The sequence below is a fragment of the Homo sapiens genome, chromosome 1 (assembly GCF_000001405.40).
Source record: "Homo sapiens chromosome 1, GRCh38.p14 Primary Assembly".
Taxonomy (NCBI): domain Eukaryota; kingdom Metazoa; phylum Chordata; class Mammalia; order Primates; family Hominidae; genus Homo; species Homo sapiens.
The window spans coordinates 20718757-20745398 of record NC_000001.11 but is presented as its reverse complement, the minus strand read 5'-3'; the positions used below and the strand labels follow the sequence as shown (position 1 = coordinate 20745398).

Here is a 26642-nt window from a genome sequence, read left to right as displayed (position 1 = left end):
TCTCCTTTGAAAATCAAGGGCTCCAGACTTTTAGGGCAAGCCTGTGTGTATCCATAGTTTAGTTATTCAAAGAAAAATAATTACATATTTCCCTAGGAACAACGTCATGAAATTGTGTCTAGACTTCATGAATTGGTTGAATTTTTATACAATTTTAGTAAAATCTCTAGTAAAAAATTGTCACATTCCTATTCTTAACGTAAGTGACCACTTCATATGCCGTTTCTCTTTAGAAAGCATCTGGTTGTCCCAACAAAACGAATCTCTTAAGTACTAAATGACGGCCTTTGCTCTTTGGTTCTCACAGGTTGCAGAAGAAAACCCCAGCCAAGTCCCCAGGGAAGGCCGCATCTGTGAAGCAGAGAGGGTCCAAACCTGCACCTAAAGTCTCAGCTGCCCAGCGGGGGAAAGCTAGGCCCTTGCCTAAGAAAGCACCTCCTAAGGCCAAAACGCCTGCCAAGAAGACCAGACCCTCATCCACAGTCATCAAGAAACCTAGTGGTGGCTCCTCAAAGAAGCCTGCAACCAGTGCAAGAAAGGAAGTAAAATTGCCGGGCAAGGGCAAATCCACCATGAAGAAGTCTTTCAGAGTGAAAAAGTAAATTTTATAGGAAAAAAGGGTATCATGATGAAATTCAAAATCTTATTTTCTAAGGTCAGTGTGCATTTGTTTAGTTTTGATGCTTTTCAAATTACATTATTTTCCTCCCCTATGAACATTGTGGGGAGGGACTCTAAATAAACCAGTTTAGGCATTTGCTAGCTTTAGGTGCTTTTATTGGTGCCTGCCCTTTTCCTTGTTCATTTTAATTTCTGCAATAATCCTGGACTTTCCTAAACTATGTAATGTATACTTGTCCTTTTTCTCTGCCTCCCCCAACCCCCTGTTGTTTTTATGGTCAGCTTTGCCTTTTTTTTTTCTTCCAATTTTATCTAAACAGTTGCAGAGATTTTTATATTTGTAGAAAGCATCAAGAACGGTATGCCAGTCAGGTCCTGGAAGTAAAATGGAGGCACAATATAGCACTGACTGAGTTGTAAAGCCTCCTGCCTGGAGACTTCAGTTATAGCTGTAATAATTAATCTTATTTATAAAAGCCACTCCACTAACCTTTTCTCTCCAACTGTAAACACAGAGACAGCTTTGGGAATAAGCCAAAAACAGGGTGATCTCATTAGATTTTGAAGATATATGACTCCTTTGGGCTACATTTCATATTGATCAATTTCTAGGTATTTTTCACTGGCCCAAAGTATTGCATTCCCTTAACAGCAAGCACAAGTTCTCTATATCACTTGTTTTTTGTTGTTGTTGTTGTTGTCGTCGTTGTTTTGAGACGGAGTCTTGCTCAGGTGCCCCGGAGTGCAGTGGTGCAATCTCAGCTCACTGCAACCTCCACCTCCTGGGTTCAAGCAATTCTCCTGCTTCAGCCTCCCGAGTAGCTGGGATTACAGGTGTGTACCACCACGCCTGGCAATTTTTTTGTATTTTTAGTAGAGATGGGGTTTCGCCGTGTTGGTCAGGCTGGTCTCGAACTCCTGACCTCAGGTGATCCGCCTGCCTCGGCCTCCCAAAGTGCTGGGATTACAGGAGTGAGCCACTGTGCCTGGCCTATCCCACTTGGTTTTTGACTGAAGGGGAAGTGTAGAAATATATTGATTTGTGATTTCTGGTGTCACCTGTGTTACCAAAAATCAAAACAAATCTTTTTTATTTTTTATTATTATTATTATTTTTGAGACAGAGTCTCGCTCTGTCGCCCAGTGTGGAGTGCAGTGGTGTGATCTTGGCTCACTGCAAACTCCGCCTCCCAGGTTCAAGCGATTCTCCCACCTCAGCCTCCTGAGTTGGGTCCTACAGGCGCACACGACCACGCCCAGCTAATTTTTTGTATTTTTAGTAGAGTTGGGGTTTCACCATGTTAGCCAGGATGGTCTCGATCTCCTGACCTCGTGATCCACTCACCTCAGCCTCCCAAAATCCTGGGGTTACAGATGTGAGCTACCACTCACGGCCCAAATCTTCTTGATCATATGTTTAAATATATTTTTTAATATTTGGAGCATGAGTTGTCACTTCTTGTTTGCCTTTTTTATAAGGAAATGTTGGAGAGTTACATCATTGCTAATGTAGAAATGTTAAGTGGAAAAATATACAGTTTGGTAAAATAAACTAGATTCTACATTTATTTGTGGGTTTTTTTCCCCTCCTTTCTTTCCACAGCACTTTTGATATCAAGCAAGTGGCTTCCTTTTTGAGATATTAAAAAAAAAAAGAAAAGGAAAAAAGTAAATGAAGCCCAACTACCTAACCCTTTCTTATTTGTATTTGTTTTAGTATTGTGAAGTTGTGTTAAATAGTACTAGCTAGAAATACAAATTTCTGGTTATCATTTCTCTTCCCTGTGGCACTTGACATTTTAATTGTCTTAAAGTTTTTGAAGTACATCTTCTGGCCCCTTGAGTACTGCCAGAGGCAAAAGATGTTTGTTTCTTATTCATTCCACTTTTGTCTCCTGGGATCCCTTCTGTAGCCTAAAGTATGGCTGGGAAATGGACTTGAGAAGATTGGCTTGAATTAGATCATAATCATGTGTGATCCCATCATGAATTCATTGGAATTTGTGTTGCATGTAAGGCAATCTTTCCTGTTGTAAATCTTCCTTTTTTAATGTACATATATTTTGAAAAATATGAATAAACATGAAATTTTAAAAGCTGCTGAACCGTAGCTTATATTTAAAGGTTTTGAGTATAGTATATCCTCAGAAGTAGCTAAGTGTCGCCCTCACTTTAAGTCTTTTCTACTCCTTGAAATGAACACCATCATTTTCCTTTTTAAATACAAGCTCCAGTTCATGTGTTTTGGAATTCTTATAGAGGGTAAACGATGTTTCCAGATACATTGAATGCTAATTACTTAATGAATCAAAGGTTTAAAAAATCATTTTGTATTTTATTAAAGACTGCTTCCAAGATCATAGAGTACAATCATGTTCAATAAATGTTCAATATTCAGATAAGTCCTTGGACTAGAAAAAATTACAGTACTGCAAAAGATAACAGATAAATCCTAGACATCAAATTCTAGAAGTAATTGTAGTAATTACTCCTGTGCTCTCTAGCAAGTAATGATTCTTAATAGTATGGATGTTAGGTACCTGTGCTCAGAATTCTGTACTCTTCTGGAATCAAAAGTTGGGAGATTTTGGTTGGTTTCTTTGCTTTATGATACTGCTTTTAAAGAGACTTACTGAATAATCACCTGGTGGCTGTATTGCACACCAGGCACTTAAGCACAGGCTGAGAAGTTTAGATCATTTAAAGTTTCTTCCAACTCTAACGTTCTGTTAACTATAAGGACAGTTTGTTTCAGTGTGATGTAAAGGGAAAAGACAGGAAGGTCATCGCACTCTTCCACGAACATCCACAACTGTCAAAGACATACGCCTTACTTACATTGAGATAAAAGAATGTTTGATTTTTCCCTTCCAGGCATTCCAAAGGAGCAGAACACATTTATAATTTTTACTTCCATGTTCAGAAAGGGGAACAACAAACCCCAGAGGTAATCCCAGAAATCTCTAGCATGGATCAATAGCTTCAGTACTCTGTTGGTGGCTTAGTGACCTCATTTACAGTGTTTCATACACTCTGAAACTACCTACAAGCTACCTTTGATAAATGAGTCTCAGAAAGTGCTGGGAGAGAGATTGTTGGCTTCTTAACCTACAAAATGAGGAAGGAAAGATACTATTGTTGAGAAATGTGGAGACCTTTCCTTAGCACTATGACAGAAGCATTCATTGCACATGGATTCTGACTATGCATCCACATGGACTTAATTAAAGGAAACCTGGTCCTGTATAAATCTTAGGAAACAGGTGTATGTTTTAATCATGTCTTTTGGGTATAATTAACAGGAAAATGACATGAAAACAAAACTAAACAATCTGCTAACACCTTTTGACATTTGTTTTTTCATCATTGCTGTTTTTCCAAATTTTGTTAGCCCTTGTCAAGGTTTGCTAACCAATTCTTAATTAATACTTACTTTAAAGAGCCTGTGAAATTATTCTCTCTCAGGCTGTGACCCTCTTGCCATCTTGATACGTCATGAGAACGAAACTCACCAGCCATGTTCATTAAATACTGCATTTAACTAAGAGAAACTTTAAAAATTTGGGATTATAGTTAAGGTCTCCTATCTTTGGAACCTGATTAATTTATCTTTCTTTGGATTAAGCAAAAATTCTAATTTTAGCTATGAAAGAAAAGAAATTCTATTCTTAATTGGAAAAGACCATTAAACTGTTTCCCCAGAGGTTCTGGTTGACATTACTTTCTAGCATGTAGATTTTGCTTTTGCATTTTCATGGTGGAACAGATGGTCACTCACTTCTGCAGAGCCAAAGCCAAGGAAGCAGAACTGTTGAAGTTTTGGCTTAGGAACCACTTGACAAAGATTTGTTTAGAAGCCATTACAGATGGTTAAACAGTACCCCTAATCAGCTGCATTATTTTCTTAAGAAATTAATCTCTACCGTCTTTATAACTATATTCTTTTACTTATTATTTTTTTGAGATGGAGTTTGCTGTGTCACTAAGGCTGCAGCGCAGTGGTGTGATCTTGGCTCACTGCAGCTTTGAACTCGTGTGCTCAAGCAGTTCTCCCCACCTCAGCCTCCCAAGTAGCCAGGACTACAGGCAAGCTAATAAATGCCTGGCTAATTTATCTTTTCTAGAGATGGGGCCTCACTGTGTTGCCCAGGCTGGTCTTGAACTCGTGGCCTCACGTGATCTTCCCACCTGGGCTTTCCAAAGTGCCAGGATTACAGGCGTGAGTCGCCATACCTGGCCCTATTCTTTCTTCTGTTCTTTTCCACAAGACTGTTAACTTCAGTGGCTTTTTTCCTGTTGGAAAACTTTCTACCTTTGATGATTTAATTTTATCAGCTTTTTAACTGTTTTAACTGTTCTTAATTCTGTCTTGTCAACCACTGGTATGTCAAAGGAGGCCTCAAAAGGCTGAAGCGATTTTCCTCAAAAATTACAACTCTTTTTTTTCCTGATATTGTATATAATGTATAATTAACACTGTTCACTATTAAATCTTTGCTTAGCAAAAGAGAACTCTGTGGTGCCTAGAGTATGTCTCATAAAGTATAGTTGTAAGTTTGGCTTATTAATGTAAGTAGTAATAGTCATAACGATTAACACTAGCTGAGCTTCTTCCACATCGGGCTCTGTACAGATACTATTTTTATTTTATTTTTGAGATGGAGTCTCACTCTTTCACCCAGGCTGGAGTGAAGTGGTGTAATCTTGGCTCACTGCAGCCCCCGCCTCCCGGGTTCAAGCAACCCTCCTGCCTCAGCCTCCCGAGTAGCTGGGACTACAGGCATGTGCCACCACGCCCAGCTAATTTTTGTATTTTTAGTAGAGACAGGGTTTCACCAGGTTGGCCAGGCATATTACGAATTCCTGACCTCAGTTGATCTCCTGCCTTGGCCTCACAAAGTGTTGGAATTACAGGTGTGAGCCACTGTGCCCAGCCAAGCACATGTTTAAGAGAGCAGAGGGCTTGGAAATGAAATTATTGCCAACTTTGCCAATAGTCAAGTCAGTGTGGCTTTTGTTTTAATTTTGGTAACTGTCAAAATTAGACCTTGGATTACTGGAAAATACTATCTTGGCTACACTTTGGGTTTTTTGTTTGTTTGTTTGTTTTTATGTCACAAGTTACTAAGCAATCCCTTAAGTCTTTTTTTAGGACACTCCAGGTATTTGGTCATTCTCATATCCTAGTTGTGGGACACTCAGAATTCATCCTGTGAATTCATCCAGTTTGCAGGATGCTGATACTCGTGAGAGCTTTTCCCCTCACAGGAGCCACAGCTTCTATCAGAACTTTATGTTGCTAAATGAGCAGCTTCATTTTAGGAAGCAAGAGAAATTCCAGAATGGGGATTTTCTCAGACAGCTGAATTTTTTGGAGATGGGATCTGCTTAGTAATCATGAGCTGGAATGTTAGAAATCCTTGCTCTTTTATTTATGATTCGGAAAGAAACCTTAGTCATTCAGTCTCTCCTATCTTTGTGTGCTTTGTTTGCCTAATACCAACAAATAAATACTCTTTTTCCTAATTCCCAGAGTTTCACATCCTGCTCATCCATTCTACTGTTTTGAGAACTTTTGCTCTGATGAATTTATTCTGTCAGACCTAAATTCCTTGTTACCTGTTTGTGTAACTCAAACTTGCTGATACAGTCTATAGAATAATAAATGTTCTTCAGTTTCAAATAGAGATTGACTCCCTGTCAGAGTATACCGTTGAGTCCAGTGTCCTAACATCTGTGGCTGTGGTCCTGCACGGTGGTCTTTGAGGACTGCGTCACTTACCAGCTGTGTGACCCTGGTCACCCACTTAATCTCCCTGAGCCTTGATTTCCTCATCTTTAAAATGATGGGCTTCATGTTGACAATCCTTGTTTTTTCAGAATAACACCTAGAAGCAATGTGAGAGTCTTCAATTCCAAAGAAATATTGAACTATGTTTACTACACTACAGTTAGGAATGCATTTAGTATTTTAGGAAAGACTTTTTAAAAAATAAGAGAGCCAAAACGTCCAGTTTCACAAAAGTTCTGTTTTGTTTAAACTACATTGTAGTTTCTTATTGCTAGATGCTTTAAATCACATTATCTCAAATTCTCACAGATACATTTTCAAAGATATATGAAATTATCCTCAATTTTCAGAAGCAAATAAATTTAGTTGATTTCCCCCAAATTAAAGATGTAATAAGTTGATGGGGTTAGATTGAAGCCAGGCTAGACCACTCATCCTTCTTCCAGGCCTCCTCTAGTGGTTTTGTACACTGATAGCTCAAGCAGCAAACTCTGACAGCAAGGATGAGAGGGTCATGCCATGAAATTAATGGGCATTGGTTAGCATATTTTTTTTTTTTGATCCACAGATTTTAAAATCAGGTTATTAAACTGTTAGAAGCTTACTTGGCACAAGATGAACAAGAACAAAGGAAGCATATACAGCCTTGAGTTTCAAAAGCCAGGGAGCAGGGAAGAGAAGCCAGGTGAGCAAGAGACATGAGTTCCTTCTGAGCTGTGGCCACCAGATGCCTAGGCAGCCATCTGCTGCCACCCGGGTCAAAGCTGGTGCCTCAATTGGCTCACCTGTCCGTGTAGATGAAGAGCAGAGCTGCAGAGAAAACTGAAACTACTTGTGCAATCTTTATTTCTTAAAATCTCCATTAAAGAATACCAGCTTCAGTTTTTCAGCATAGGCATTATTTTAATACTGGGTAATACCTGCCTTACTGTACTTTCTGGAATGCATTTCAAGACCTCCTATTTTATTTGTCTGTGGTAACAAACTTTGTAAAAAGTGTTTCTGGGAAGGAGCCATCTTTTTCCAGACCTGTGCTTTTCAGTTGGGAAGGTACTATAAACCATTCCTCTTTTCTCTGCATCTCAAATGGGATACGCGTAGGAGCAAAATAAATATGGTGCCTCTTTCTGGGGCATCAGTTTTATTCAAAGATACTGCAGGGAGTGGCTTCATGGTAATATTGACACAAATAGAAGGTAGTATGGAGCCCACAAGAGTTGGTAAGAGGAAACGAGATTTCCCGGAAATAAAGCAGCAGGAGTGCTTCAGGTAGGCTCTGCTGTCTGATCCCCAAGACGTGTACATTCACTCACTCTCCTTGGAAAACACGAGAAGCAGTGGCTGGGACCCTCCAAGAGTGTACAGCTACATATAGTCTGTCCACATGTCCACTTTGGAACCAGGACTAGCAGTGCGACCTTGGGCAAGTCACTTAACCTTCTGATTCTCTGGAAAAGTGAGTTGAACTCAGATCATCTGTTGTAGCCCCTCCAGCTCTGACATTTTTCTGTATAACCTCCACACTTTCTGCCAACCAGAAGAATACACAGGGAAGAAGAGCCAAGCAATACCATGTTGTGGCCCATTTCCTGATGGATAAGGAGCCTTATGTTTCTTAGAGATGGGGGTCTCACTGTGTTACCTAGGCTAGACTCACTCCTGGCTCAAGCAATTCTCCTGCACCAGCCTCCCAAGTAGCTGGGACTACAGGCACGTGCCACCATGCCTGGCTGGGAATCTTATTTTAATCACTGTATCAGTTTCCTAGGGGGGCCATAACAAAGTACCACAGACAGGTTTAAACAAAAATGTATTAATATTTTCTCCAGTTCTGAAGGCTAGAGGTCCAACATCAAGGAGTCAGCAGGGTTGGTTTCTCCTGAGGCCCCTGAGGGAAGGATCTGTTCTAGGCCTTTCTCCTTGGCTTGCAAATGGCTGTCTTTTCCCTGTGTGTTTATGTCACCTTACCTCTGTACTTGTCTGTGTCCAAATTTCCTCTTCCTATAAGGACACCAGTGTTACTGGATTAGGACCCACACTAATGAACTCTTAATTTACCTCCTTAAAGACCCGGTCTCCCAATATGATTCCAAGGTACTGGAGATTAGGACTTCAACATAAGAATTTGGGGAGGACAGTTCATGACATTGTCTCTGAATTTTTTTTATATTTTATTTTTGGAGACGGGATCTTGCTCTGTCACCCAGGCTGGTGTGCAGTGGCACAATCATAGCTCACTGCAGCCTCAAACTCCTGGGCTCAAGCAATCCTTCCACCTCTGCCTTCCAAATCTTCCAAATGCTAATTGCTAAATTTTCTTTTCTTTTTTTGGAGATTCTTGCTGTGTTGCCCGGGCTGGTTTGGAACTCCTGGCCTCAGGTGATCCTCCCACCTCAGCCTCCCAAAACGTTGAGATTACAAGTATGAGCCACTGTGCCTGGTTTGGAATTTTTTTTTTCTTTTTTTTTTTGAGACGGAGTTTCGCTCTTGTTGCCCAGGCTGGAGTGCAATGGCATGATCTCGGCTCACCGCAACCTCCGCTTCCTGGGTTCAAGTGATTCTCCTGCCTTAGCCTCCTGAGTAGCTGGGATTACAGGTGTGCGCCACCACACCCGGCGAATTTTGTATTTTTAGTAGAGACGGGGTTTCTCCATGTTGGTCAGGCTGGTCTCGAACTCCCGACCTCAGGCGATCTGCCCGCCTCAGCCTCCCAAAGTGCTGGGATTACAGGTGTGAGCCACGGCACCTGGCCGGAATGTTTTTTAAAATCGCTGTTCTAGGTCACCTATTTTTGGGGGACAATGTTGATAAATTGCAGGGATGGCCGCCAGGACACATCTGAGAGAACAGAATGATAGTGTTCAAAGGTGAAATAACTCAACATGTGAAGGTGTTGGAGACTGGGATGGAGTGTGCGCTGTCAAAAGTGGATGTGGATGAGCTGTTGCTGTGCGAGGCCTGTTGGGAGCTTACCATCTTGGCTCTGGTTTTCAGTCCTGTTGTTAGAGAACAGCTTCTCAGTGATGTGTTACTTCCCACACACATTCGTCAGCTGCCAACTCCAGCCCATGATTCTGGGATTTTAGAGAAAAGGGAAGATTGATAGCAAGCTCACACCTGTATGGTTTAGTCATTGTCATTAACTCATCAGGAAATACCATGACATGGCATGTGCACCAACATGTTCAGCAGTCATGACTCCCACCCCCACCCCAGCTTGCCTTTTTGTCATCCTTCCCTGCTCAATATGGGTCCTTGGGTTTCCTGTACACATAAGTCATTAATCCAGTGGTTGAAGTTTTGCACCTGGTGGCTCCCAAGAGCGCTTGTGTTGTCATGAATGTGAGATCACAGACATTTGGCAGATGAAGCAGTGATGGCCGTTTTACGCTGCAATCCTGAGCGGAACCCAGGAAATGGCTGATACCGACTGAAGTTTGTTACATTTGATGTAAACTTTTCAGTTTGTACATGGAATATACCTTTATGTACCTTTAGTGAGGCTACATCTGTGGTACAAGTTTGGTGTTTCTGCGCTTTTAGGATAAGACCAACTGAATTTGGTAACCTGGGGGAGTAGCCCAGATAAGCAGTTACATTACTTTGATGCATAAATAAAAATGAAAGCCGGGCACAGTGGCTCATGCCTATAATCCCAGCACTTTGGGAGGCTGAGGCAGGTGGTTCACTTGCCGTCAGGAGTTCAAGACCAGCCTGGGCCATCTCTACCAAAAAGATGAAAATTAGCCAAGCGTGGTGGCGTGCACATGTAATAGGCTACTTGGGAGGCAGAGGCAGGAGAATTGCTTCAACCTGGGAGGCGGAGGTTGCAGTGAGCCGAGATTGCACCCCTGTACTCCAGCCTGGGCGACACAGCAAGACTCTGTCTCAAAAGTCTCGCTTGTCGACCAGGCTGGAGTGCAGTGGCACGATCTTGGCTCACTGCAAGCTCCGCCTCCCGGGTTCACGCCATTCTCCTGCCTCAGCCTCCCAAGTAGCTGGGACTACAGGCGCCCGCCACCATGCCTGGCTAATTTTTTTGTATTTTTTAGTAGAGATGGGGTTTCACTGTGTTAGCCAGGATGGTCTCGATCTCCTGACCTCGTGATCTGCCTGCCTCCGCTTCCCAAAGTGCTGGGATTACAGGCGTGAGCCACCGCGCCCGGCCAAAAAACATTTTTTTTAAGTAAAACTAAAAACCTTCAAATATATAAATGCACTTGGTTTTGAAACCTTGTATTTCTGAGTCGGACTGAAGACCAACAAAAAGAAGACCCTTCTTGGTAGTAGAAGTCAGTAGTCAATGTCACACACTTTGAACATACTTATCTTTCTAGATTTTTTTTTTTTTTTTTGAGACGGAGTCTTGCTCTTGTTGCCCAGGCTGGAGTGCAGTGATGGGATCTCAGCTCACTGCAATCTCCACCTCCTGGGTTTAAGCGATTCTCCTGCCTCAGCCTCTCAAGTAGCTGGGATTACAGGCGCCCACCACCATGCCCAGCTAATTTTTGTATTTTTAGTAGAGACAGGGTTTCACCATGTTGGCCAAGCTAGTCTCGAACTCCTGACCTCAGGTGATCTACCTGCCTTGGCCTCCCAAGTGATGGGAATACAGGTGTGAGCCACCGCACCCGGCCTCTAGATCTGGTTTTTGCAGCGCTTTGTATGTTTTATTGTAAATCTCTGTGTCCCTGGGATCTAGCACAGTGCCTGCCACTCAAATCTTGACCCTCTGTTTCCTTCTGAGAAAGGTTTAGAAAGCAGGATTCTCCCTCTGGTTTTGACTATTTCATTATCTGAATTTAAGCTTTTGTCATTTTGACCTCAAACAAATTCCTGCCACTATTTTAAAAATTGCATGTATCAGAATGAATTGTATGCATCAGAAAACTTGTTAGAGTTAGTATTTAATGGAGCTTGCCTCGTGTTGCTGTCTCTGAATATTCTCAAAACGGGGACTGTGGAGCTAGAAATTGTCGAGTCCTCTATTTAAAACTTACGCGCTTTTCTCCCCCTGCCCCCACCCAAGAAAGCTAGGAATTAACCGTTTATTCTTTGTGAACTCCAAGTTTAATAAACTGGATTTGCAGAGAATAGGGGTGACTTGTAAACCATCTTGTTCCCTCTTGTCACTGGACTCAAGGCTGGCAGATGGCTGTGGTGAAGTGTTGCCCAGAGCACTTACATCTAGAAGTCAAAGAGCCCTTGCTTCAGCCTAGGCAATATAGTGAGACCTCGTTTCTACTAAAAAACAAACAAAAAAATTAGCTGGGTGTGGTGGCATGCACCTGTAGTCCCAGCTGCTTGGTGGCTGAGACAGGAGGATCACTTGAGCCTGAGAGATGGAGGAGTGAGCATTGATTGTGATTGTGCCACTGTCACTCCAGCCTGGGCGACAGAGTCAGACCCTATCTTAAACCCTTGCTGTACTGTCGCTCCAGCCTGGGCGACAGAGTCAGACGCTGTCTTAAACCCTTGCTGTACTGCACTCCAGCCTGGGCGACAGAGTTAGACCCTATCTTAAACCCTTGCTGTACTGTCACTGCAGCCTGAGTGACAGAGTCATACCCTATCTTAAACAAACCCTTGCTGTACTGTCACATACAAAAGAAAATCAAGACTAAAAGTAAGGTCTAATGTCAGCTAATATTTATTGGGTGCCTCACTTCCTGTGGGTCAGGTACTGCGCTACGCACTTTGCTCGTTGGAATCCTCACGTGGCTGTGAGTCAGGCGTTAGTAACTCTCCTTTCCACACGAGGCGCTCAAAGAATGAAAGTGATGAAGGCGTTTGCCCAAAGCCCCACGTTTGTAAGAAGAAGAGCCCAGATTTGGGGCCACGCCTCACTGCTGCCTCTGGGTTTCCAGATCCCCTGAGGAGGAGTGGCCAGCATGGCCTCTTGGCGCAAACCCGCCTCCCCTGGAACTCCAGGGGCCCTCAGGCCCTCTGCGCTGTGCCCACCTGTCAGGGTGCCCCGCTCCCGGTCTGCAGCCTTTGCGCCCCCACTGGCCCTGAGCCCCTGTGTCCTGGTTTCTCTGTGGTGTGGTGCATGGGCAGGTTCCGGGGGGGTTTCCTGCAGATGTCAGGTTGGATACACAGCAGCCTTGGCTCATCGCCCGGTCTCCTGGGACGATAGCGCTCCCCGTCCCAGTGCCGTGGCTGGAGCTGCTAGCCCGATTCCCCACCTAAAGGGCCCGAAGGATGGGGCCACGGCCCATGTGCGGTGAGCAACGTTCCTTCCCAGATTTCTCAGTGCTGGGCCCCGGGCTAAGCAGGATCTGTCAGTTCCCGGCTGAGAACGTCCCGGCAGGAAGAAAGTGAGGAGGAGGATGCGCAACGACCCTCCACTCACAAGGGCCGGGCCCGAACCACCCTGAGCGCCTCCTCCGAGCCAGGCTCGATCCTTCACACTGGGAACGGAGACACTCCGGTCCAGTGTCACTTGTCCTCGAGTAAGAGGAGAGGGATGACAGGCGAGCAACGGAGTCACAAGGGCTCTGCAGAGAATGAAGCGTGAGTGGTGGTCGTGGAAGGCTTCCCGGAGGAGGCGGTGCGGTAGCCGCGGCTCGGATGACGCGGAGGAGCCAGCCAGAGAGGGGAGGGGCAGAGGCCCTCCAGGAGGAGGGACCCGTGAGTGAGGCGCGGGGGATTCAGCGCCCCCAGCCCGGGAGGAGGTGCCTTCTGAGCTCCGGGCGAGCCCCTCCCGCCCTTCCAGGCGGAGCGCCGGGCGTGGGCAGTGCCAGGGCCCCTCGCGGCCGCTGATTGGGTGGTGCGGCCGAGCGGAGCGGCTCCGCGGGCGCCGATTGGTGAGTGAGGCGGGTCGCCGCCGCCAGGTGATCCGGGGGTCGGTTCCCGCGGCCACGTGTGGGGGCGCGGGGACCGGGGTCGGGGGCGGCGGGAAGCGGGCACCCAGGCGCGGGGCTGCGGCGGCGGGAGACGCGGGGGTCGCGGGCCGGAGCGGCCGGGACCGGACTCGAGAGGCGGTGAGCGAGCGCCGGGAGCCGGGCAGGGGCGGGGGGCTTGGTACGCTGACACGGGCGCGGGAGGGTCTCGGGAGTGAGGGGCGCCCGTCACCCGCTCCGTCGTCATCTGCCCTCCCTGCCACTGTAGCCTCCTCCGTCCCCTGCAGCGGAGCCCAGCACGCTCCTGGGTCCGGGGACTCTGCCGGGGCCCCTGGCCGTTCCCCGCAGCGCCCCGAGCGAGGTAGCGCAGCGGGACCGGCAGCCCACTCTGGAGCGCTTCGCACCCCCGCGCCCGCCCCTCAGGGGCCTCGGCCCACCCGCCCCTGGAACAGCGCTTCCCGCTCCCGTGTCGCCTGTTTCGAGAGGCCGTGAAGCAGCACCCCCAGCACACGCACGCACCTCGCCTTCTCCTCACCCCGCTGTTCTCTTCTCATCACTTTACCCCCCATGCCGCCTCCACCACCCCAGCTGGGTGCCCCCAGAGGGCGGGCACCTTCGTCCACCGGCGGCGGGGCCTGACACACAGTCAGCCTCGGAAACATTCCAAGAAGGACCAGAGCTACGAGCACCCCAGGAGGTAGTGCTGGGGGATCCCCACCCTACAGCTGAGGACCTGGAGGCTGAGAGCTTAAGTGACTTGCCCAAGGTCACGCCAGCCAACCATGTTAGACCCCACAATCTAAGTTCTTGACCCCTGGCTGGGTGGCCTTGGGTTTTCCCGACCCTGTGGCCCAGGGCAGGTGGACGCGTGTTGGGGCAGTGGGAGTAGACTGGGCGCTCTGGCAGCCCCAGACCCTCCGGCCAGGAGGCAGCACCTGAGTTCGCCAGCCAGCGGCTTCCTTGCCTCACCTCCTCGTGGACTGGCAGGGACCCCCACCAAACTCCAAGAGTGGACACCCTACTTATCTGTGGGAGGGGAGTCCGAGCAGAAAGGCACCGCCATGGCCTGAGGAAACAGCTCCAGAGACATGGATTTGCTTCCCTGCTCTCCCACTGAAGCTGTGTGACTATGGGCAAGTGACTTCACTCCTCTGAGCCACCCTTTGCTGACCCAGGGTCTGCGGGCTGGTGGTCTCCCCCTGACACAACTCAGCTATGGTGCAGTGCCCCAGAGGGCTTCTGCGCCTGACCCACGAGGCAGGTCAGCCCATCCAGTCTCCTGTCTCTGAGCAGGGCCACCTGGAAAACCTCAGAGGACAGCTCCAGCCTCATTCCAAGTGTGTCCCCTTCGGAAGGTGCTGGCCCAGCCAGACTCCAGTGTAAAGCCTCAGAAAAGCAGGTCTGCCCCAAAGAGACAAGTGGGTGTTTTGTGCCTGGAATTGGGTAATGTCTGTTTCCAGGATTAGAGTGAGCTCCATGCCCTCCCTGGTCCCCCGGGAGCCCCCCACCCCAACTCCAGGCCTGGGCTGAATGCACTGTGCTCCTCAGGCTTAGGAAGGAGGGAGGAACTTCCAGTTTCCAAGGAGGCTAAGGACCAGGGAGATGGGGAAAGGATCAGGTGATGGTAGGTGGGCTGGGGCCCCTAAGAGGGCCAGTGGTTGGCCTCTGCACCCCCACCGCTGGGACACTGGGGACGCTGAAAGCTGCAGCTTTGGGTGTGGAGGGAGGGACTGCAGCAGCCCTGGACACAGCTGTGTGCGCGTGTGAGTGTGAGATGCCCGCACGGCTCCTCCCCATCTCACACTTGGTGCCTGAGGGGCTGCGTCCCCCCCCCCCCCGAGCAGGATGGGAAACGTGCCCTTCCCCTCTCCTCCCCACAGCTCTCCTTTCTCTCTTTTGCTTTGTCTTTCTCGCCCTTCTCTGTTCCTGCCTCTGTCCCCGGCCACCCCTCCATCGTCCGTACCTTCCCTCTCCTTTTCTCCGTGTTTTGTGGTCTTTGCCTCCTCCCTCCCCACTGCCCGCCATCCTGGCCGATCCTGGCCCCAGGATGTGACTGTGAAGTTGAAAGGCGGCTTCACTGGAAGCCCCCCTCCCCACCTCCTTACCTGGAAGCAATGTCATGTGGCTTTAGTGCCGGTTGCACATGTAACTTTGCTTTATTTAAACATAAAAGATACAGTAGGTAAAGGATATGACATGAAAATGATCCGGGTGCAATAGCCCAGAAAAGCAGGAGGGCAGCCAGGATAGGAGGGAGCGCCAGGAATTCTCAAGGGGATGGTGCAGGTGCAGCATTTTTTTTCTGGCTCCTGGCTGCTCACTGAAAGTGGATCGGTGCAGGCACCTCCACCCTGGCCTGAGCCTGAGGTTAAAGGTCATGGGCAGGCAGAGACAGGGTCCCTTCCCGGGCTCTTGGTGCTAACAGAGTCAGTTCCAAAGCACCCCAGCCCTCCTCCTTGAGTGGGAGCACACCCGGGACCCGTCGTTGCTGCCCAGGGCTCTGTTGGATACCTGCTCTCTGTGGGCGCCTGTCGGTGTGGCCAAGGACAAGGAGGGGAGCAGAAGTGGTCAGACCCCGCTGTCCTCCCAAGCTCCCTCCTGAGCAGCAGGCTTTGTTGAGCTTTGGATCCAAGCCTGGCTGGCGTCGGGCTGGGCGCTGCCTCCTCCATTCTGTCCCCATCTACTCCTCACATGATCCCAGGTTTGCAGATGAGGAAGGGGAGGCTCAGAGGGTTGAGGCAGCTGGTCCAAAGTCACACAGGATTTGGACCCAGGACTCTCTGATCCCAAGTCAGTGATGACAAGCAGGCTGGTGAGTGAAGCCAGCCAGGGTAGGACACAGAGGTGGCTTTCTCACTGGTCCCAGGAGAGACCGAGGGAGCTGAGTCCTGGGGGACCTCGCCAGAGGCATTTAGCCATTCTTTCTTGGAATCATGGGGCCATGATATGTTAATTCCACATTAATTGAACACCAGCTGTGTCCTGGGCTCTCATGGGAAATAGTGTGTTCCCTGCCCTTGAGGACAGTCACCTAAGGGGGGTCCACTCCTCTCTTCCACGACTGGATGTGGGAGAGGGGTCCCAGGAAAGACCAGAACCTGGCTGGGCTGGACGGTGGGGGGTGGTCCTCAGCCCCCAGGGCAGTTGTCCTCCTTCCCCACATCCTGTCTGCATCAGCGCACTGTCTGACTGAGTTCTGGTTTTCATGATCTGCAAGGGGTTGGGGGGTTCAGGAAGGGGCTGGGGTCTGTTTGGGCTGAGTGAGGCAGGGTCCCATGCAGCAGGTCCCTGGCCTCATCAGCTCTGGCCATCCAGCTTGCAGCCACCTTCATGAACTACAGAGCTCCTGCCCTAGAACCTGCTATAGCTCCCCACTACCCACAGGGTGGGGTCTGAATTCCTGAGCCTGGCGTCTAAGGCTGATCCCAAACTGGATCCAGCCTGCCCTTCTGATAAGGGCTGAGGTCGGCCTGCGGGCCCCCACTGCCTGCCTTCCTTTGTGTCTTTGCAGTCTCTGTTTCTGCCGCTGTCACTGCCCTTCTCTTTGATGGCGCCCTCTCAGGTGGCCCTCCCTTCCCTCTGGCACTTTGTGCAATCTGGTTACAGGTCTTCCTGTAACCAGCCCCTGGGGCAGGCCCCAGCCCAGAACACCAGGATCCTCAGTGCTTGCTGAGTTTTTGAGTGACCCTGGGCATGTACCGCCACACCCTTCAGATCTTGACCCAGACCTCCCCTCCTCAGTGAGGGCTTCCCAGCAACAGTCAGCCCTTAAGCTGACGTTTCCCATTCTCCTCCCTGCTCCATCCCCATCTCACGTATGATCTATCTTACTATTTAGTTCAATGTCTTTCTCCCCAGCAACAATGTAAGTAAGCTCCCTGAGGGCAGTCAGAGACGTCATCATTTTCTTCTGGGCTGGCTCCCCAGGGCCCGGGACATTGCGCAGCCGTGCTGCACACATAGCAGCTGCTCAGGAAGCCAGTGAATGAATGGCCTGTGGGGGGCACTCTGTGGCTTGCCTGCCTCGAAAGCAGCCCTTCCCCCCCTGCCCTTTGCAGCCTCCCCTCCCGTGGAGCTGGAAGCCAGGCACCCTGGGGGCCATGCAGAAGGCGGGGGCTGGGGGCCGCAGGGCCTCTGACTGCGGGCTGGCCCCTCACCGGCCCAGGTGCATCACCAAGTTTGCCCAGGTGGGTGGGGCCACCCTGTCCAGGTGTGCTCTGGTGGGTGGCCCTCAGGTAGCAGGCGCTGGTGATTGGGAAGTGCTGCGGGCCTAGGACCTATTTCCACCTCTTTCTTGCCTGACTTGGGCTGGGGAGTGTGTGTGTGCCCCGATGAGGGACTGGGACTTCAGAGAGCTTCAGTGACCTGACCAAGGTCTCCTGCTGGGGAAGCAGCAGAGCCTGGGCTCCGAGAATCGAGCTCTGTCTGTCCACAGACACGCCTGGCAGAGCAGATGTGTGTTTGGGGGGAATTTGGAGGATGGGGTTAGGAGCCACGGGCCTGACTCCCCGCCTTACTCCCTTCACCCCACTGCCGAGCAGTACGTGGGCTCCTTCCCTGTGGATGACCTGGACACCCAGGAGAGCGTGTGGCTGGTGCAGCAGCAGCTGTGGGCGCTGAAGGTGGGTGGCCTGGGAGGGCACTTCCCTAGTGGAAGTCACAGCCTTGAAGACCAGGTAACCCCCTAGACCAGATCCACTCTCCCCACAGTTAGAGAGGGGCAGGACACAGGCCCTGTTTGTGGTGGGCTGGTCAGGACACACACCCAGGCTCCAGGGGCCCCATCCCTTATGCCCTGGGCTACTGTGACCTGGGCCCCACAGCTGGAAGCCACAGATGGAGATGTGGGTGATAGTCACAGCCTGGCCAGCGGTGGCCCTAGCTAGGGGTCATCTGCCAGGAGCCATCCCCACTTCCCCAGCGCCAGGGGGGTCCACCAGCCAGGGCCCCACCCCCTGCCAGGGGTGGTGGAGTGGGCTGACCAGCCTTTGGTGGATGGTCCTGAGGCTGGGCAGGCCAAGGCAGGGTCTGGGAGGTGGTGCCTGTCCCCACTACTCTTTTCCACCCAGGACTGTCCCCGACGCCGGGCCGTCATCCTGAAATTCAGCCTTCAGGGTCTCAAGATCTACAGCGGGGAGGGTGAGGTAGGAACCCCTGTGGGTGCAGGTGAGGACTGGAGGGGTACAGGTGTCTCCACCCTCAGGATGCGCTCTCCTCTGCCTAGGTCCTGGCCTTAGCTCGGCCCCCGTGCTTCCCCTGGGGTCCCCCTGGCGCGCCAGCCTACCTGCTCTGGGCCTTTGGATTTGCACCAGGGGCCGCCTCCTCCCAGGGCTGGCTCAGGCCACAGCTTCCCACCCCTGGGCCTCCAGAATCCCTCTGGGGCCACCTCCCCACCTGAGCATCAGGAACATCCAGCCCACTGAGGCTCTCGCAGCTGCCCTGCCCCGCCCTGGCTGGTGGGCCGTGGGCAGCTTCACCCAGGTGCGGTAGGCTGCTCCTGGCCACTGCTCCTCCTCCCTGCCCTGCTGCAGGCTCGTCCTGCTGCTGAACCAGCGTGGGGCGGACACTGATTGCGCGCCAGACTGTACCCCACAGCTGCAGGCATCAGTCGCCTACCACTGAGGCACACCTGGTGTCCCCAGAGCTGGGCATTGCGGGGCCCTGGGGTCAGGTCCTGTGCCACTCACATGAGGTCCCACTGATCCCCACCTACAGCCCTATCGAGAGGCCCTCATATCTCCCTACCTGACACGTCACAACAGGCGCTCAGAGGACTGCCCTCACCTGCCCAAGTCACACAAATGAGTGGCAGAGCCAGGATTCGCACCCCAGTCACCTGCCTCCAGGGACCAGGCGTGTCACCCCAGTGCCTGCTGCCACTCCCATTCTCTGTGCTCCCGGCAGGCCGAGCATCACATGGGGGTGGCGATCTTAAGCCCCAGGGCCCATGTGAAGGATGAGGGCTTGAGACTGGGCGGGCCTGGAAGGAGGGAGGGTTTCTTCACCCCTGCAGGCTGGCAAGCAGGGGTGGGGCTGCCCGGTGGGTCTGATGGGGGCCTCACACTGCTGCCTCGCCAGGTGCTGCTGATGGCTCATGCCCTGAGGCGCATACTCTACTCCACCTGGTGCCCTGCCGACTGCCAGTTTGCCTTCATGGCTCGAAACCCACGGAGCCCAGCCAGCAAGCTCTTCTGCCACCTCTTTGTGGGCAGCCAGCCAGGAGAGGTATCTGGGGCTTGAGGCAGGGGACCGCCACGGAGGCCGGAGGGGCTGTGCGCCAGGCATCAGGGTGGGTTCCTTGAGGGCTTTGCCAGGGCGGCCTGATCCCCCTCCAGGCATGCACCCCTCACCACATTGGCTCTTTCTGTGGCTCTTCCCACTGAGGACACCACAAAGCAAGTCAGTGGCCTCAGCATTCCCTAGGGCCCAGGGGCGGGAATCTGGCCACGCGCTTAGAGAGTGGAGAGTCACACCTCCAGGCCTTCGCTCATGCCGTTCTGTCTGGCATCCCCTCCCCTTCTCATCCTAGCACATTCCACTCACTCTTCAAGGCTCAGCCCATGTGTCTGAACCCCGCCTTGACTCCTCTGGATGGCCACTCTCTCTGGGGTCCTGTGACATGAACTGCACGCTACCATCGTCTGCCCTAATTACAGGCACCTGAGTTCTTTGAGAGCCGAGTCTGGGTCCAGGTCTTGAGAGAGTGCTTGGCCCAGAGCGGTCGGGGTGGGCGGGTAGATCAGAAAGTCAAAGCCAGCCTGGCTGTTGTGAAGGACAGAGCCTTGGCAGCTAGGCGCTTGGCAGGCAGACGCTGGGTTTGGTTCTGACCAGCAACCATTTGCTGTCATCCTGTATATCCAGGCCATGTGCTGGATACTGGGGTGACACGTGGCTGAGTCATGTTCCTTGAGCTGACGCTCACGGTTCTAACTCGTTGGGTCTGGATGGTGTGTGTGGCGGTTGGGATGCGCTGCTCCCGACAAGCACTGGGCCTGTGCTGGGAACTTCCTGTGCTCTATTTCACTGACTCCTCAAAGGGGCACAGGGAGGTGGGGATGAGGAAACCGAGGCACAGAGAGGTGCCATGCTCTGCCCAGGGTCACACAGCAGCTCCTACATGACAGAGCCAGGATTGGAACCCAAGTTCTGACTTCAGGACCTGGGCTCTTGGCCATTCCTGGAAGAGGGCGCTGATGTGGCATGCAGGGTGGGGCTGGTAAGCCTGGGGGCAGGAGTGCATGAGCTCACGCTTCCATTCTCTGCTCCAAGCGTGATGCCTGGACCACAGTAGGTCCTCAGTGTTTGTTAAATATATAAAGGAAGCTGGTAAGGGAGCCTGCATGGTGGTGAGGTTTTGAAGGGTAAGTAGGAGCTTTCCCAGGAAGAATGGGAAGAGCCTCCGAAGCCAAGGGGCTGCATGCACCCATGGTGAGTGGGCTGAGGCCCAGGGAGTTCACTGGGAGATGGAGACCTCCTCCAGCTGAGCCCACCTCTCTCCCTCCCTCCCAGGTCCAGATCCTGCACCTGCTGCTGTGCCGCTCTTTCCAGCTGGCTTACCTCTTGCAGCACCCTGAGGAGCGGGCACAGCCAGAGCCCTGCCCAGGGCCCACAGGGGAGGTGCCCCTGAAGCCACTGTCCAGCTCTGGGGGCCTGGTGCGGGAGCCCTTCGGCCGTGATCAGCTCTCTCAGAACGTCCATGCCCTGGTCTCCTTTCGGCGGCTGCCAGCAGAGGGGCTGGTGGGCAGTGGGGTACGCAGCACCCCAGCCAAGGAGTGGGCAGTGGACAAGGGAACTGGGTATGGGTTTGGGGGGCATGTCAGGGCAGGGGCTTCACTTGGCCTGACATGGCTAGACCTGAGTCTGCCTGCCTGTGGGCCCCTCTTGGTGCCCTAGAAGGAGCTGCCAGAGTCGGAAGGCCGTGCCCGCCATGCCCGCCTGGGGAATCCCTACTGCTCGCCCACGCTGGTGCGCAAGAAGGCCATTCGCAGCAAGGTGATCCGCTCGGGGGCCTACCGCGGCTGCACCTATGAGACCCAGCTGCAGCTGTCGGCTCGGGAGGCCTGTGAGTTGTGGGAACATGCCTGCCCTGTGTGTACCTGGGACACGTGCCCGTGCGCTCCTGGACCAGCCAGAGGTGGGCGTGAGTGCCCGTTCCTGCAAGGCTGTGGCCGCACCTCCAAGTGATGCCTGTGCACTGTGTGTGTTTGCCTGCATCCGTGTCTGTGCAAAGGGGACTGTGTACAGCCGTGTATGGACCAGAACTGTCGGGCGGAAGGCCCGTGTGCAGATATGTCTGCTGAGCAGGGTAGAGAGGCTTGGGGAGGACACCACCCTGGGTGATGAGGCCTGCGGCCGCAGGGAATGGGAGGGCTCGGCCACTCTCCTTCTGACTCCTGGATGGTCTCCACAGTTCCTGCCGCATGGGAGGCATGGCCCCGGGGTCCTGGTGGCCACTCGTGCCTGGTGGAGAGCGAGGGCAGCCTGACGGAGAACATCTGGGCCTTCGCTGGCATCTCCAGGTAGGAAGGGCCTGGCCTGGCCTGACGCCCAGTCCCTTGGGGTGGGCAGAGAAATATGGGCTTCCCAGGCCCCTGAGGCACACACTCCCGTGCACGGGCAGAGCGCTCCCAACCTCAGTGACCTCAGGCCTGGGACTTCACCACCCTGGGCCTCCATTTTCTCTAAGGTAAAATGGGGTTAATGAAAGGAGCTTCATCTTAAGGCTGTGGAGAGGGTCAAATGAGGTGATTTGAGTAGAGCCCTCAGCACCTGGCCTGAACAGGGCGAGGCCCCTAAGCGTCAGCTCTTTAAGCCTCTCTCCTGAGAGAGTCTTGACATTGCTAACAATTACAGACTCTGGAGAAACCTTCTAAGCTTCTAAAAGCTTCTTTCTGTTGAGCCAGACTCTGAGTCAGACCCCATGTTGGGTTTTTGCTGTTGCTTTTGTTTTGAAATTTCATTTTAGAGACAGGGTCTCATTCTGTCACCCGTGCTGAAGTGCAGTAGCATGGTCATGGCTCACTGCAGCCTCAAACTCCTGTGCTCAAGGGATCCTCCTGCCTGGGCCTCCCAAAGTGCTGGGATTACAGGCATGAGCCACTGAGCCCGGCCAACGCACCGTGTGTTTAAGGGCATTTAATCCGCAGGCTGCCTCGATGCTGCTGGGGTCCTCATGACCATTGCCCAGGAGAGCAGTCCAGCCTTTACTCTCTCCCCTCTGTGCTCCTAGGCCCTGTGCCCTGGCCCTGTTGCGGAGAGACGTGCTGGGGGCCTTCCTGCTGTGGCCTGAGCTGGGTGCTAGCGGCCAGTGGTGTCTGTCCGTGCGCACGCAGTGCGGCGTGGTGCCCCACCAGGTCTTCCGGAACCACCTGGGCCGCTACTGCTTGGAGGTAAGAGCGCAGCAGCCAGAGGGGCCTGGGCCCTGCCGCATCATTGGCTCCATCCCTGGCCCTTCCTGCCTGCCCTTTTCTAACTGCTGAGGTCCTGAATGTGCCTCACCCCCATCCCTGTCTCCCATTGGCTCTCCCTGGCCTCGCCCCTCATCCAATTCCATCCTGCCTCTACTGTCCTGCTCCTTCCTCATTGGCCCTGCTGGCCTCACCCCCAGCTGGCCCACTTGGCCCCACCTCTGTTGACTCCGCTCTGCTCTGACCTGAAGGCTCTTGGAGGGGAAGGGAGGTGCCTGGTCACCGAGGACCCTTCTCTCCAGAGGTGGCTTCAAAGGGTACCTCTAATAGAGTCTTGAGCTGGGGTCATGTCTAACATTTCTACAGGAATCCTGGCTTTCCCACACCCTAGCCCATCTTAGCAGAGGAGGAAACTGACTCAGAGAGGGCAGGGGGTGCCTAAGCTCAACAGCCTGAGTCTCCAGTGTGATGTCTTGTCCTGCCCCCCAGTTTCTAGGGATGGGAGGGGGTGGCGAGGCTTTTCACATGTGTACCCTTACTTCCAAGCTAAACATCTCATTCCTATCCAGGCTGGGAAGAGAGAGAGGGAATGGTGTTTGGCTCTGCCACGATAGCACATGTGAAGCCTCTGGGCTCCGTTCCCTGCTCTCCAAAATGTGCAGGCTCCTGTGGGAGCGGGTGGCTGGTGCCTGGCGTGAGCCCTGGGGAAGGGGACTGGAGCTGAAGTCCCTTCCTCCCCTAGCACCTGCCGGCAGAGTTCCCCAGCCTGGAGGCTCTGGTGGAGAACCACGCGGTTACTGAACGTAGCCTCTTCTGTCCCCTCGACATGGGCCGCCTGAACCCCACCTACGAGGAGCAGGACTGTGGGCCCCCAGGCAGGCCGCCCCGGACTCTCCGGCCCCTCAGCCATGCCAAGTCCGAGGCAGAGCTGCAGGGCCTGGGCTAAGAGGTAGGGCCCCGGTCCCACAGGCCCCGCCTCACCCCGGCTCCTGGGCCCCAGCAGCATCTCTGCCCGTCCTGCACCCCTCTGGTTGCCAGTTCCATCCAGTCACCCTGCCCTTGGAGCAGTCTTCCATCGCGTCACTGTCCGTGGGAGGGGAGCCCTGAGGGTGGGTATCGCCAATGGCTTCTTGGAGAACATGTGGCCTGCTGAGATTCCAGGAGGGCAGGTGGAGTTGCAGGCTTCGGATAACCCTTTGGGTGGCTTCGGATGACCTGCTGTGTGGCTTCGGATGCTTTGGGACTTCTGGGCTTCTGCTTTACTCCTGGGGCAGGAGCTTGTTCACGGCAAAGCTGCAGCCCTCTCCTAAGGAGGCTAGGCCTTGGGGCGCTGACTGGGAGTCTCCAGAAAGAGGGTTTTGGGGAGGCAGGAGTGAGCTTTTACTCTGGGCAAAGACCTGGAGTGAGCCACCCTGTCTATGAGAGCAGAGATGACTCCATGGAGCTTGTGGGCAGGAGGCTGGGGATGAGCCCCATCTAGGCTGACAGAGCAGGGCTGTTTCTCATATGTATCTGAGAGTGAAGGAGGGGTGGGAAGGTGCAGAGAGGGCAGGAGGGACAGAGGGCTGTACCTAACGCTCACGCACGGTGGACTCCTGTGTGCAGAAAGGGATGCGCACCAGCAGACAGGGCCAAGAATCTCCATGCTGTCTCCACTCAAAACCTCAGGGCTGTGACTCCCGCTTTCTCAGAAGGGATGCGCAGGCTCACCCCTTCCCCCTAGGAATCACCAGGGCACCCCCACCCCCAGCTCATCTCCTTTAGCCATTTGACAGGGAGGGGCCAGCAGTGAGCTGCAGGCTTAGAGGGGTGACCAGGGCCCTTCCTAACTCGACCGCATGTGGTTTGGTGGCTGCCTTGGGAGGGAGGCTGTCCGATGCTGACATTCCCCTTAGCATGGCCCTGACCGTGGCTGTCAGGGGCCACCTTGCCTCACCAGGCCAGCCCCACTGGGAATGGGGTCAGTCACAGCAGAACCGTCGAAAGGTGGACCTGATGTGGGCCCTGCCGGGGGCGCTTGGCCTCAGCGGGCCATGGGAGACCCAGGGAAACGACTCTAGTGTGAGGCAGTGGTCCTGCCAGTGACTGACAAACCCTCTTTGTAAGCAAACTTGACAAATAATGAATCTACTGAACTCTGTTATAGAACAAGTTCATTTTGCATGAACTTCTCTTATTGAAGCAGAAGCCACGTCATGAGCCTGGGGGCTGCCCTCTCCCCGTCTGGGAGTGGGACAGAACTGTTCAGTGCCTTGAAAGTCACAGATTTCTGACTCCTGGAAGGAACTGGGCAGTCCCACCAGAGCAGAAAGAAAGGAGGCAAACTTGGGGAGTGAGAAGCCAGCCTCCCAGAGGCCCAGGCCTCGTGTTCCCCACCTCCAACCCTCCCGTGAGGAGAGGGGCTTGGCCTGGGACCTTGTAACTTCCTTGCAAGTTAAGTGAGCTATCCTGTCACAAAAGATAGAAGGAACTGCCCTTTGGGACTTCTTTTCACTGGAAACCCAGCACTGGTTTTATGTTGAGTGAGTGGGAAGCTGGGACTCTGTTTTACAGCCATCTGTACTGGAGCCTGGACAAACCACTGGTCTCTATGGGAGGCCCCAGCCTCACATTTCCCTGGCAAGGAGAGAGAGGTTTAGCCATGTCCTGGGTCTAGGATTACAGCCCAGAGATGGGCACTTAAGAAGACCTGGTCATTGGTCCAGACTTGGGCCAAGGCTCTCCTCTGTGAGGGATGGGTTTTACTGGTGAATTACCTGTGTGGAGAAGCTATCAGGGCCATGTTTAGCACACTGAAGGGACCAGTCTCCACCAAGCACTTTAACATCCCTCCAGCCAGCATAGATTGATCTCGTGTTACAGAGAGGGCAAGGTTTTTGGCCCCTGTTTGCAGACTCCATGTCTTAATCAGAGACCACAGTTTTCTCTTTGTTCCAATCTGCGCCACCTCGGTAGCCCCACTTTCCTTGCTGTGTGGACTTGAAACAAAATAAAATGTGTTGCTTCAGATTGTCTGCTACAGACTTTTCTTTCCTTCGAAAGGTGAGGTTTTTGTCGTTTCCCTATTTCGTTTTTGCCAAACGTATCTTCAGCTGGTGCTGAATGGTGAACCAGAGGTCCTGTCCTCAAGGGCTCAGAAGGAATTGCGCAGGGAGACTCAATCAATTTACGTTCCTCTTCTGCTGCAACTTTCAGTGGATATATCTATAGGAAAAAGACTCAAGTCCTTCTGCACTGGCAACCTGGGCTTGCTTTCTGCTTCTGCAATGTGCCACAGGACCTCCGCACAGCCCAGACCGGCGTCCTCCTCCTCCTCCCTTCCCTTCACCTTGTTAACCACTCAGCCATCATATTTCAGCTCCAGTCAATCTCAGGATGCCTGCCCTACACCCTGGGCTGAGTGAGGTTCCTTTTTTAGATGTTCCATAGGCTGGGTGCAGTGATTCGTGCTAGTAATCCCAGCACTTTTGGAGGCCGAGGTGAGAGGATCGTTTGAGTCCAGAAATTGGAGACCAGCCTGGGCAACAAAATGAGATCCCATCTCTACAAAAAATTAGCCACTCGGGAGGCTGAGTTAGGAGGATCGCTTGAGACCTCCTGAGGTTGAGGCAGCAGTGAGCTATGATTGCACTCCAGCCTCAGTGACAGGGCAAGACCCTGTCTCAAAAAAAGATATGTTGCATGGAACTGATTATTCAGCTTGTAATTACATTTTCGTTTTCGGGATTTTGTTTGTGGGATTTTGTTTCCTGTGTCTGTCTCTCCAGCTAGATCATGCAGGAGGGCTGTCTCCCTAACATCTGTCACGGTGCCTGACATGTAGCCGACACTCAGTGTTTCAGTGCAAGGAAGAGCCCAGCGCCCAGAGGTGTGACGGAGGTGCTCTTTTGGCTGGGGAACTTGCACTGAGCCAGGAGGGATAGGCCAGGCAGCCTTCCATCCAAAAGACTTGTTTTTGTTTGTTTGTTTGTTTTAGATGGA

The 26642-nt window shown here is 52.2% G+C and overlaps 2 protein-coding genes across 20 annotated transcripts in view, besides 13 other annotated features; both read left to right on the top strand.

The window, feature by feature from the left end:
• HP1BP3 (heterochromatin protein 1 binding protein 3) overlaps positions 1 to 5133 on the top strand; it is a 47042-nt gene extending 41909 nt beyond the window's left edge. For 14 of the 15 annotated variants that reach the window (NR_164851.1, NR_164850.1, NM_001376793.1 and 11 more), the window contains one exon: positions 308 to 5133. Coding sequence is in view for 13 of the 15 variants with exons in the window: in NM_001376793.1 (NP_001363722.1) it covers positions 308 to 602 (295 nt within the window). In the remaining 2 variants the exon portion in view is untranslated. The remainder of the gene's footprint in view (positions 1 to 307) is intronic. The other variant, NM_016287.5, reaches the window with a different exon arrangement.
• Positions 11959 to 12629: an enhancer, noted in NCBI's record as "H3K4me1 hESC enhancer chr1:21059263-21059933 (GRCh37/hg19 assembly coordinates)". NCBI's record gives its function as "activates a minimal SCP1, AML or CMV promoter by ChIP-STARR-seq in naive H9 embryonic stem cells {active_cell/tissue: H9 hESC(naive)}" and the evidence as "EXISTENCE:reporter gene assay evidence [ECO:0000049][PMID:30033119]".
• Positions 12276 to 12345: an enhancer, noted in NCBI's record as "active region_324". NCBI's record gives its function as "activates an Ori minimal core promoter by ATAC-STARR-seq in GM12878 lymphoblastoid cells {active_cell/tissue: GM12878}" and the evidence as "EXISTENCE:reporter gene assay evidence [ECO:0000049][PMID:35858748]".
• Positions 12630 to 13302: an enhancer, noted in NCBI's record as "H3K4me1 hESC enhancer chr1:21058590-21059262 (GRCh37/hg19 assembly coordinates)". NCBI's record gives its function as "activates a minimal SCP1, AML or CMV promoter by ChIP-STARR-seq in naive and primed H9 embryonic stem cells {active_cell/tissue: H9 hESC(naive and primed)}" and the evidence as "EXISTENCE:reporter gene assay evidence [ECO:0000049][PMID:30033119]".
• Positions 12630 to 13315: a biological region, named in NCBI's record as "H3K4me1 hESC enhancer GRCh37_chr1:21058590-21059262".
• Positions 12696 to 25668, top strand: SH2D5 (SH2 domain containing 5). 5 transcript variants are annotated; one of them, XM_011541460.2, is made up of 11 exons: positions 13675 to 14387; positions 14548 to 14653; positions 17313 to 17441; positions 17796 to 17876; positions 18324 to 18398; positions 19333 to 19479; positions 20764 to 21003; positions 21148 to 21316; positions 21665 to 21773; positions 22484 to 22643; positions 23404 to 25668. In XM_011541460.2, the coding sequence occupies exons 3-11, from the start codon at positions 17355 to 17357 to the stop codon at positions 23605 to 23607; spliced, it is 1272 nt and encodes a 423-aa protein (XP_011539762.1). In that variant the 5' UTR covers positions 13675 to 14387; positions 14548 to 14653; positions 17313 to 17354; the 3' UTR covers positions 23608 to 25668. The 5 variants fall into 5 exon arrangements, with proteins under 5 accessions (NP_001096631.1, NP_001096630.1, XP_011539763.1 ...); NM_001103161.2 differs by lacking the exons at positions 13675 to 14387; positions 14548 to 14653 and adding an exon at positions 12696 to 13218; XM_011541461.3 differs by lacking the exons at positions 13675 to 14387; positions 14548 to 14653 and adding an exon at positions 13221 to 13395.
• Positions 12986 to 13145: a silencer, noted in NCBI's record as "silent region_374". NCBI's record gives its function as "represses an Ori minimal core promoter by ATAC-STARR-seq in GM12878 lymphoblastoid cells {active_cell/tissue: GM12878}" and the evidence as "EXISTENCE:reporter gene assay evidence [ECO:0000049][PMID:35858748]".
• Positions 13196 to 13315: a silencer, noted in NCBI's record as "silent region_373". NCBI's record gives its function as "represses an Ori minimal core promoter by ATAC-STARR-seq in GM12878 lymphoblastoid cells {active_cell/tissue: GM12878}" and the evidence as "EXISTENCE:reporter gene assay evidence [ECO:0000049][PMID:35858748]".
• Positions 13516 to 13605: a silencer, noted in NCBI's record as "silent region_372". NCBI's record gives its function as "represses an Ori minimal core promoter by ATAC-STARR-seq in GM12878 lymphoblastoid cells {active_cell/tissue: GM12878}" and the evidence as "EXISTENCE:reporter gene assay evidence [ECO:0000049][PMID:35858748]".
• Positions 13516 to 14215: a biological region, named in NCBI's record as "H3K4me1 hESC enhancer GRCh37_chr1:21057677-21058368".
• Positions 13524 to 14215: an enhancer, noted in NCBI's record as "H3K4me1 hESC enhancer chr1:21057677-21058368 (GRCh37/hg19 assembly coordinates)". NCBI's record gives its function as "activates a minimal SCP1, AML or CMV promoter by ChIP-STARR-seq in naive and primed H9 embryonic stem cells {active_cell/tissue: H9 hESC(naive and primed)}" and the evidence as "EXISTENCE:reporter gene assay evidence [ECO:0000049][PMID:30033119]".
• Positions 13716 to 13765: a silencer, noted in NCBI's record as "silent region_371". NCBI's record gives its function as "represses an Ori minimal core promoter by ATAC-STARR-seq in GM12878 lymphoblastoid cells {active_cell/tissue: GM12878}" and the evidence as "EXISTENCE:reporter gene assay evidence [ECO:0000049][PMID:35858748]".
• Positions 14216 to 14909: an enhancer, noted in NCBI's record as "H3K4me1 hESC enhancer chr1:21056983-21057676 (GRCh37/hg19 assembly coordinates)". NCBI's record gives its function as "activates a minimal SCP1, AML or CMV promoter by ChIP-STARR-seq in naive and primed H9 embryonic stem cells {active_cell/tissue: H9 hESC(naive and primed)}" and the evidence as "EXISTENCE:reporter gene assay evidence [ECO:0000049][PMID:30033119]".
• Positions 16503 to 17164: an enhancer, noted in NCBI's record as "H3K27ac-H3K4me1 hESC enhancer chr1:21054728-21055389 (GRCh37/hg19 assembly coordinates)". NCBI's record gives its function as "activates a minimal SCP1, AML or CMV promoter by ChIP-STARR-seq in naive H9 embryonic stem cells {active_cell/tissue: H9 hESC(naive)}" and the evidence as "EXISTENCE:reporter gene assay evidence [ECO:0000049][PMID:30033119]".
• Positions 17165 to 17827: an enhancer, noted in NCBI's record as "H3K27ac-H3K4me1 hESC enhancer chr1:21054065-21054727 (GRCh37/hg19 assembly coordinates)". NCBI's record gives its function as "activates a minimal SCP1, AML or CMV promoter by ChIP-STARR-seq in naive H9 embryonic stem cells {active_cell/tissue: H9 hESC(naive)}" and the evidence as "EXISTENCE:reporter gene assay evidence [ECO:0000049][PMID:30033119]".
• Positions 25669 to 26642: the final 974 nt, after the last annotated feature.

What these genes read in the sequence shown, in the direction of transcription:
- SH2D5 (NM_001103161.2), top strand. Translation starts at nt 17,355, where the DNA reads ATGCAGAAGGCGGGGGCTGGGGGCCGCAGGGCCTCTGACTGCGGGCTG. An exon ending in TCTACAGCGGGGAGGGTGAG is followed by an intron (nt 18,399 to 19,332) that starts GTAGGAACCCCT and finishes CTGCCTCGCCAG; the next exon opens with GTGCTGCTGATGGCTCATGC. An exon ending in TGGGCCGCTACTGCTTGGAG is followed by an intron (nt 22,644 to 23,403) that starts GTAAGAGCGCAG and finishes TTCCTCCCCTAG; the next exon opens with CACCTGCCGGCAGAGTTCCC.